The 10,572-nt window shown below is 51.9% G+C and overlaps 1 annotated feature.

Annotated features, from left to right (window-relative positions):
• Positions 6,987 to 7,281: a silencer, noted in NCBI's record as "tiled region #1888; K562 Repressive non-DNase unmatched - State 7:EnhWF". NCBI's record gives its function as "represses a minimal TATA promoter and a strong SV40 promoter by Sharpr-MPRA in K562 cells {active_cell/tissue: K562}" and the evidence as "EXISTENCE:reporter gene assay evidence [ECO:0000049][PMID:27701403]".

Genomic DNA, 10,572 nt, shown 5'->3' on the forward strand with positions numbered 1-10,572 from the left:
TACTTCATAGTGTCAGTGGCTCTCCCAAGCTTGTGCACTCACCAACTCATCCCACCTACCAGCTGACCCCAGGGCCAGAGGCAGGATAGAGACCAGAGGGGCCTTCTGGAGTTCTGGGGCAAGGGCTGAGGCAAAGGCACACCGAGACCCCCAGGTATGCCTTCACCCCATGCACAGCCACACACACGGCTGGCTCCACAGATGGACCCAGCACACCCTCAGATCTCCCACACACAGACCCTCCAAGCATCCCATCCTGAGAAGATGAGGGACGGTTGGAGTGGATGGTAAGGCCACAGGGCCCAGAGCAGGGACAATGGTCAAGGCCAGGGCAGGAGGGTGCCCCAACCCATCCTTCAGCATCAGTGTGGCCCTGAGGAGCCCATGATCTCTGAGCCCCTGGCAGCACTCATGAAGAGGTCAGGGGATGGGCACAAAGTCACCCTAGCAGGGGTTTGTGGGCATGTGTAAAGGGGGGACCAGGAAGAAGAAGAGGATTATAAGCCTGGAGAGAGACCAGTCTTTCCCCTTGGATCCACACCCTTATTCAGAACTACTCACTTAGGCTATTTGGAAGTTTTTCCAGGCATCTAGCCTCAATCCTTCCTGCTGGAATTGGAGAGGATTTCTCTCTGGGAATTAATTACTCTGGCTTTTTACCTCTGTTATAAACCAAACAAAGAATTCTGAAGAGGGAAGAAGGGCAAAAACTGGTGATAGATGAGAAGAAGGGAGCAGGAGGCCAGGGGAGCCAGGAACAGCAGTGACAGTCAGAGGCAATGTCTGCAGCGCTCTCTCCTCCCCACCTACAAGGGGAGATCAGGGAATATGGACTTTCCTTGGAGAAGAAACTTGGGACAGATGACAGGGAGGACTTCTCAGAAAATAGTTGATAAGCACCTTCTCTGGAGATTAGAGGGAGAGAGAAGAGAGGAAGAGGTAGGTAAGAGCGCAGGAGATGGAAAAAGAAAGTGTCTTGTCCATCAAGAGAAGAGAAACCAACGCAGAGAAAGTGGAGGAAAACGCTATAGACCTGCAGTGGTGGGGACCTAAGATTTTAAAAGTTTAGGATTGGTCGGGTGCGGTCGGTGGCTCACACCTGTAATCCCAGCATTTTGGGAGGCCAAGGTGGGTGGATCACCTGAGGTCAGGAGTTTGAGACCAGCCTGGCCAACATGGGGAATCCCTGTCTCTACTAAAAATACAAAAATTAGCTGGGCGTGGTGGCAGGCACCTGCAATCCCAGCTACTCAGGAGGCTGAGGCAGGAGAATGGCTTGAACCTGGGAGGCAGAAGTTGCAGTGAGCAGAGATCACACCATTGTACTCCAGGCTAGGTGACAAGTGCAAAACTCCATCTCAAAAAATAAAAATAAATAAATAAATGAAAATAAAAAATAAATAAATAAAAAGCTCAGGGTTGTTCCACTTACCTTTCTGGGCTTCAGCTTCCTTCCCACAGTGGGGATAGTAAGCGCCTGTCTGGGGTCTAAATGAACGCCACTCAGTGCCTAGCACTATAAAAACTCAAGCACAGTGGCTTCCCCCAAACTGCAGCCTGACAGAGCAGGAAGGGCCCTGGGTGCCCCCTTAGCCTTCTGGAGGGGTTGTAGGAGGTCCGCCAGCCTTCTGCCTCCACTACCCATCACCTGGCTGCCCATTAGAATCAGGCAGGGCTCAGGGGACCAAATGCTAGGTCCTGACCCCAGGACCTCAGAGCAGTTAGATCAGAGGGGTCGAGGAATCAGAATTGTAATGCTCCCAGGTGCTTCTAAGTCATCTCCTGAGAACTCCTGGCTTAGCCTCATGCTGTCATATTTCAAAGTACAGAAATGAGGCCAGGAGAGGCAGAGAGAGCAACCTGCCCAGCTCACCATCTACAGACCAGAACCCCCATGTGCAGGAGGGGGTTAGTTAGAGAGGGCAGGGAGGCATCTCACTCCTCCTCCATGCCTCCTCAGCTCCTGACTCCAGAAAAGGTCTGTCTGGCCTTTCCTCTCTGTCTGGTGCTGCTGGGACCTCCCTCCCACTCTGGCCCATGGACAGAGCCCTCCTCTTTCAGTCACCCAGACCTGAGGTGGGCTCAAGCTCTCATGGCCATCAGAGCACCTCACACATAGGCAGTGCTCAGTAGGCATTTATGGGATGAACAACTATCGGGTCTCCACCCAGGGGGCAGGAACTTTCCTAAAGTACCCAGGAAAAGGCTAGGAAGAGAGCTGCTTGCTCCTATTTTCTCCAGTCTGAGTCCCAGCTGAGAGCTGAGATACCGTCATTCCCTCAGCCACCTGAGCCCCATCTGGGGCCAGGAGAGCTGCAGGACCCAGCTCTGCACGCCTGCTCTGTGGTGTGGTTGCCCTGGTAAGCAACTTGACGAGCAGCTCGTTCTCCAGGTAAATGTGAGGCCAGCAGACCTCCCAGAAGGACAGACAGTATCATCGGCATGAAAAGACCAAGGGTTGTGAACACTCCACTACACTCCCAGCTGAAGGCCAGGGGAGAGATTAATCTGAATGCTGCCACTGAATGCAGGGGGGAGGTTCTAGAGGCCCCCATCCAGTCTGGCTCCTGCAGAAGGTCCATTCCCACAGCCTGGATGAGCCCCACTTTCCTGTTCTAGGACCTCTCAGACAGGGAGGTCCCCTCTGTCAGCCTCTGGGTGTTGTCTGTCCTAAAGGTCTCCTGCTGAAGAAAGCCAGGCTCAGGTCATGGGAAGGTCGGATTGAGCTGGAGAAAGGGATAGTGAGCTGGCCATGCAACTGGTCAATGACCATTCAAAATCACACCTGTGACTCTGAGTCCTGGAGGGCTGGGAACAGAGTCAACCAGAGAACAGAGATGAGATGAAATGCCAGGGCTGGGAGAGTAGAGACAGCAAGAAGCAGAGGAGGTGGGGAGGAAGGAGGGAGAACCCCAGACAAACAGGATGAGGCCAACAAAAGGAGTGCAGCCTGCTCCCAGGTGCCTCAATGGTGGTGGCGCACCCCTGTAGTCCCAGCTACTCGGGAGGCTGAGGCAGTAGAATCACTTGAACCCGGGAGGCGGAGGTTGCAGTGAGCTGAGGTCACGCCACTGCACTCCAGCCTGGGCGACAGAGCGAGACTCTGTCTCAAAAAAAAAAAAAAAAAAGAAAGAAAGAAAAAAGAAAAAAGAAAAAAAAGAGGGAAAGGAAAAAGGAAATGCAGCATCTCAGGCCCTGCCGCCAGACCTACTGAGTCAGAATCTACATTTTGACAAATCCTAAGGTGATGTAAAGTTTCAGAGCACCAGACCAGTGGATGATTAAGTGCATGGGTTTAACATAGAGCCCCCCAGAGCTCTGATAGAGGCCTGGTCCTTCTGCTTACTAGCTGAGCTTCTGTTCATTCATCTGCAAAGTGGAGATAAAACATATGCCACAGGGTTATTGTGAGCAGCCAAGATCAAATGAGAAGTGCTGGGCACATGCTGAGCATTCCACAAGCAGCCAGAGGTGGTTACTGGGGGTATGGCTAGCACCATCACATGGGATCCATCCTGCTTAGTACTCGTCACTGGGTTGGGATGGCCTGGTTGCCTGCTGGCTGTGCAGTCTTGGACAAGGTCCTCCACCTTTCTGTGCCTCAATTTCCTCATGGGTACAATGAGAATAGCTAGAGTGCCTCCCTTGAAAGATCGATGCGGGATTAAGTGATTAAATGATCTGATGCGTGACAACGACTACATGTGGTCTACAAAGGTTGGCCACAATAGTAATCACAGCAGCTTTCACTATCATTACAAGAGCCCCAATCTCCAGACACCTGGATTCTAGGGAAGGTAGTGAATATCCTTCATTCAGCTGGTCAGTTGGGCCATGAGGAAGAGGCTGGTGCAGAGACAGGGAAGCCAGAGAAGGGGAGGACAAGGCCTCTTCCAGGAGTTAGCCCCAGCAGTGGAGGTGGGGGGAAGCAGGCACTTGTTCTGAGACCTGGGTTTCTGTGTGGTACAGCAGACACACCCACTTCTCATCAACTCAGAGATGCACACCAGTAAGAATGGTGCAGTAACCGTCTGAAAGCTCGGCCATGAGCTCACCGTGCAAGCCTGAACAAGCACGTTGCCCTCCCTGGGCTCGGTCTCCCCAGCTGAAGATAAGGGGATTGGCCCATTAGACAATCTCTGAGTCCTTTGGGGCCACAGGACGCTGATTTGGTGGTCCTGGTACATTCTAAAACACACAACTGCCCCTGTACATGTCACAACATGGGTAACAAGGCAAGACACCCCTTCCCCACCTCATCCTCACACACGGAAGCACGGGAGCAGGAGCGAAGCATCTGGGAATTAACCTAGACACAAAACCACTGGGCCCTTCCCATCGCCCTCCTCGGCCTTCAGCAGGGCCAGGTGAGCGCACACCCCTTCCTGGAGGTCACAGTCTGGGCATCTGCTTCCCTCTGCTGGCCAGAGAAGGGATGGCAGCCTGGTCTGCAAAGCTAGACTTGGGGGCCTGGCCTGGTGGGAGGTGGGATGTCCAGCATTCATCCTGTCCTTAGAGTCGCACCACCAGCCGCCTCCTGGACCTAAGTGAAGGCTGTGAAAAGGAATAAGTAGAGGAAAGCCCACCAGCTGACCCAGATCTCTCTGCAGGGAAGAGAAACCGGAATAAACAGACACACTAATATTTATTACATTAACAGACAATTAGATCGCATTTAATATGACTCAGGCACTGTCCTAAGTGCTTTACAGATCTTACCTCATCTAGCCTCTGAGATAGGTGCCGCATTATTCCTCATTTTACAGATGAGGGGGAATAAGATAGAGGAGCCCCAAAGTTACGCAGCCAACAGATTCAAGTGGGTGCTGCGCCACCTCCCAGAGAGGAAGGGGCCAAGAGAGACCAGGTAGGGGTGGAGACACTTAGACACAGCTACAGAAACATGACAGAAGTCTCTAGAAGAGCAGAGGAAGATGGGGGGAGAAGTGGGAGCAAAGGAGGTGGGGGAAGGGGAAAAGAGAGGGCAGCAGGATGGCTGGGAAGAGGGAGGGAAGGGAGGTGGGCTCCCTTTTGACCCCAGGCCCCAAAGATGCTATCAGGCCAGACCCACCGGAAAATCCTTCCTAGATCCCTCCACATTCCAGCTCTGCTGGGCTGGTTTTACAGCCTCATGGTGCAGCCGGACACTGTTTATGGCAGCTCCATTCTCTGCCCCTTGTCTCCAGGCCCCAAAGGCATCTGGCCAGGCTGGGGGAGGCTTGTGGAGGCAGGGGTCCCCCGCCCAGCTTCCCAGCCCCTCCTTTGAACCCTGCTGGGTGCCAGAAGGAGGGGGCTGCCTGGGCACCACAAGGGCCCCTTCCAGGCTCCTTACATCGAGCCTGGGAGGGAGGGGGCCGACTCCCCCAGGCATGGGCCACCTCGAAAGGACCACTGAATCCCACCTCTGCCAGTTCCTGGCTGCGTGATCTTGGGCACATGATTTAGCATGATTTGACCTTCCTCAGCCTCAGTTTACTCTTCTGTAAATTGGACATAATAGTTCCTCATGGTTATTTTGAGAATTTGACATATATATATATAATAATTTTTTTTTCAGATGGAGTCTCGCTTTTTTGCCCAGGCTGGAGTGCAGTGGCCCAATCTTGGCTCACTGCAACCTCCGCCTGCTGGGTTCAAGTGATTCTCCTGCCTCAGCCTCCCGAGTAGCTTGGATTACAGGTGCGCGCCACCACGCCCAGCTAATTATTGTGTTTTTTAGTAGAGACAGGGTTTTGCCATGTTGGCCAGCCTAGTCTCGAACTCCTGACCTCAAGTGATCGGCCGGCATCGGCCTGCCAAAGTGCTGGAATTGATTACAGTAGTGAGCCACTGCGCCTGGCCATAGAATGCCTGTGTTCTAAGGAAAGGATGAATGGAAGAAGAGAGATGAAGGGAAGATCCTAAGAAGGGCTTAGCAGGGATGCAGGGCAGGGTTAGCTCAGGGGAAAGGAGCAAGAGAAAATAGAAGACACCTCCTTTCCAGCGGTGTCCTAGCCTGATAAATACTGGGGAGGGGGAGGACATGGAGATGGAGGAATATCTGGGATGCCCCTAGAGACATACAGAAAGGAGGGCCAGGCCGGGCGCGGTGGCTCACGCCTGTAATCCCAGCACTTTGGGAGGCTGAGGTGGGTGGATCAAGAGGTCAGGAGATCGAGACCATCTTGGCTAATATGGTGAAACCCCGTCTCTACTAAAAAAATACAAAAAATTAGCCAGGCATGGTGGCGGGCACCTGTAGTCCCAGCTACTCAGGAGGCTGAGGCAGGAGAATGACCTGAACCTGGGAGGCGGAGCTTGCAGTGAGCCGAGATCGCGCCACTGCACTCCAGCCTGGGCGACAGTGCGAGACTCCATCTCAAAAAAAAAAAAAAAAAAAGAGAAAGAAAGAAAAAGAAAAAGAAAGGACGGCCACCAGGGATGGGAGGAAGATGCCCTCCACACATGCACTGAGGGCGAGAAGAGGTTAATTGAGTCTGTCTGCAGGCAAGATAAGGCTCCCACAGAGCTGGAGCTAGTTCCCTGGAGTGTCTTCTAGATAACACTCAGAACCTGGCTGAAGATGAACAACTCCCAGGGAGACTCTGGAGGGAAGAGCAGGAAATCTCGGGCACTCTCACTCCACCCTCCCTACGCCCCCATCCCTTACAGAGGGAGGTGGAAGTCAGAGAGAAGAACTTGTGAGCGCTGCTGCACTACCCTAAGGTGCTGAGAATCCACAGCTCTTTCCATCCTCCGTTCTTCCCTCCCCAGTGCCCATCAGGTGCTTACTCAGAGGTGGTGCTGGGTGCTTTCATAAGAGGGTAAGTCAATCTCAAGGGACTTTGGATGCTAGCCCTTTCCCCAGAGCCATTAGCAACAAGTCCCTGAGTGACGTCAAGGGCCGCCAGGCTATGGTCTCCTCTTTCAGCACCCATGGACCCTCCATGAGGTCCGCTCTCCCCACTCCACTCATTTTCCCACCAACCGCTCCCTCCCCATATCACCCTCCCCAACCACCAAGAATTCCAAACAAGAGGCTGGGTTCCAGGCCCCATGTTTATCTCATGGCAGGCTCTGTCATGTCAGGAGCTGCCCCTGAGTCTGACCCCCTGCCCTGCCCCCAGAGCTCTGCTGAGAGGATACACTGAACAGGGATGCCCAGTGGACAGGCCTGCAAGGACTGGGGCCTGAGGAGCCTGGGGGTTCCATATTCTCACAGCAGCCTGAGCCCCAAACAGGTGGGATCGGGCATGTGAGGGCCTCTTCCCTGGCCAATTTCTGCAAGGGCTTCTCAGGACCCAGCGGCCACCTCCAGTCCCTTCCTCTTCCTAGGTATCTTTCCATTTCTCCACAGCTTCGATTTGACTGGTCATTTGATGTAAGACCCAGGAGATGGAGCTGCCACGGCCACCCCTCAGCCCCTCCTTAGCCCAACCGTATCCTGGAGCTGCAGGACCCAGGTTCTCAGATCCAGGCCTTCCCCTTCCCCTGCGCCCTCTCAGAGTGGGGTCTTGCAGAGGAGCCTGCAAAGGGGGCACCAACAGGAGGCATAAACAAACAGTGCATGGGAGAGGAACTGGAGATACAAAAATAAAACTGACCTCAAGCAGGTCATAAACAAAGCGGGACCCACTGTAAATAAGGGTGAAATTTACCATAAACAGAAAGTAAAAGGGGCTATGAGCAGAGGGCCTTAGGGGGGTGAAAAGCATGATCAGTGCCCCCTCCCCAAGTGAGCAGTGGAAGGAAGGGGATCTGGGAGCACCTGGCCCAGGGAAAAGGAGGTCTGGAGAAAGGGGCACCTTGAGAGGCAGGAGTTTACTGTTATCCAAAGGGATACCACACAGGGATATGAGTTGATGGGATCTCCAAACAGTAGGAGGCATGGAGGTGGGACTTGCAGAATGATTTCCTGGTGTCAAGGATGAGTGTAACCTGCCATCACTTCACCATCTCTTTTTATCCTCACTCCCCTCCTTCCAACCCTACAGGGCAGTGGACAGAGTCTTTGGAAATAGCTCGAGGAGAAAGATTCTGAAGCTGGAGCCCACTCCAAATCTCAGGAAAGAGAAGGTCCTGAGTAGGATGGGGAGTGTGGAAAAGAAGGCCCGGAAGGGAATACCACCCATCCCAGCAAGACAAAAACATAAAGTCAATTCAAAGGTAAAGAGCTCATTCTACTTTTCCTCCTTCCCTCTTCCACTTATTTCCTGTCTCACCTTGCACTTCCTCCTGTCTCTGTTTTCAGCCTCCTCTATTTTTCCTTGCTTCTGGTGGCATCTATACCTCCCAAAACATGAGGTTCAAAGGCAAAATTTTTAGTGAATCCCAGCATTGCTCTCTTATATCAAATGACCAGTCAAATTGAGGCCGTGGAGACGTCTGGCACATTTAGGAATTGCTTCTGTCTCAGTCTCACCCTGGTACACACACATGCACACTCACACACATTGACACACACACTCACACACATTCAGGCACTCACACACTCGCACACTCACACACATTCATACACTCACATACACTCACACCACACACGCACACACATTCACACACTCACACATATTCACACACACCATACACTCACACACTCACACTCACACACACACCACACGCTCACACACACATACACACACGCACACATACACACACTCGCACACACACTCACAAGAGCACGTTCTCTTCACTTTCATCTCCATGTACATGTCTCTGCCTCCATGTTCTCCATCCTTCTGAACTCTGGAAGTCAAGAGGGGAAGGATGAAATTGATGTCTGCCTTTGCAAAAGGATCCAGGTAGATCCCATTCTGTTCCTAATCTCTAAGCATGGGTGTGAGGGTGAGGGGAGAGATGGAGCCCATAAATCCTCTGAAATCTTCCTAGGACCAAGAGAAGGTCCATATATTGCCAGACCTTAAAACCATAAGTTGCTCCACCACTGTCGTCCCCCACCCCCAACCACATAATTACTATTCATAGTGCACAACTGGGTGATTAATGACCTGATTAATAATTACTCAGGCTAATAAAATAATTAATTAATTTGGCAAGCCATTATTTATCTGTTCATCCTCAGCCTGAAACTCTACAACTAGGAGTTTAGGAATCTCCCCTCCAGGCTGTTTCAGAAATATGATCATTAGTGTGGGCTGGGAAGGATGGGGGATGAAATTCTCCATCCTGAGACCCTCCCAAGGTAGGAAAGGGCCCGAGGGCTTTCTGAGAATGCAGACCGGAAAGAATGAAACAAAAATGACCAGGTAACCTCAAGCCCAGGAAAAGAGCTGACCAGGGAGGCCAGGGACATTGGGATAGGGGAGCATAACAGGGAGCTTGAGGGGGTGCATCTGAGCACCCAGGTTTGGGGAATTCTTAGATGTATTCTCTCCAGCAAATGATTGATGACACCATTTTCAACAAATGATCTTTATCTCGCCTCTTGTCTCCCAAATTTATGATTTTGCCCCCAAGCCCCAGGCTAGACAAGCAAGGACTAGGTAAATTCTGGGGTGGGGAGGCTGACTTGGAGTAGGGCCCAAGAATCAGTGGGGAATCTTTGGGACTCTGCAGAGGGGAGAAGTCTCCCCTACCATCAGTTTCTGAGCTCTTAAGAAATAAACCTCTGAATCAGACTTCAATTTAGGTCCCCAGAACCCAGAGGCTCTGGAGTACCTGCCCCCTAGCAGGGAAGGGAGCAAATAGCAAGGAGAAAGAAAGGATGACTGATCTCCTAGGAAGTGAGGAGGGAAGCAGAGGCTCACCCCAGGAGTGAGGGAATGAGAAAACTGGCTTGTCTAGTCAGTTTGTGAACAGGCAGAGGCATCTCTGCCATGTTCTAGGCCCGGGGCAGACATGAGACACGACTTCTCCCAATCTGGGGCTGAGGCACCAGTGGGTCCTTGGCCAAGCAGCTCTAGATTGGATTCCCAGTATGTACTAGGATGGATAAGAATCAGACTCGGACCTAGTGATGCTCAAGTTCTAGTGGAGCTGGGGGGAACCGATTTGTGAATAGATAATGCCCCAGGATAAATGCCATAAAAAGGAGGCGAGTACAAAGTCCATGGGGGCACAGAAACATGCTTCCTGGGGGTGTTAGAGAAAAGAATGCCCAGCAAGGGGATATTTGAACTAGGCCTTGAGGAATGAGTAGAAATTTACCAAATAGAGATCAAAATCCAGGATGTGATTAGCTGGGCACAGTGGAGCACGTATGTAGTCCCAGCTGCTAGGAAGGCTGAGGCAGGAGGATGGCTTGAGACCCAGAGGCTGAGGCTGCAAGTGAGCTGAGATCGCACCACTGCACTCCAGCCTGAGTGACAGATCAAGACCCTGTCAAAAAAAGAAACAAAGAAAGAGCAGGATGTGTTTGGAGAATTTCGAGTAGGCAAAGAAGTGATCTGATGAGATCAGAGGCTTAGATTTGGCCAAACATAAAAGATGGAGATGGGCTAAGAAGGAGTCTGGACCTTTTCTCCTAGGCAATGGGGATCTACTGGAGATTAAAGTAAAAGAGTGACCTACACTGATTTGTGTTTTTTGTTATTGCTTTCGTTTTGTTTTGTTTCAGACAGAGTCTGGCTCTGTCAC

The sequence above is a fragment of the Homo sapiens genome, chromosome 12, assembly GCF_000001405.40.
Source record: "Homo sapiens chromosome 12, GRCh38.p14 Primary Assembly".
NCBI lineage: Eukaryota > Metazoa > Chordata > Mammalia > Primates > Hominidae > Homo > Homo sapiens.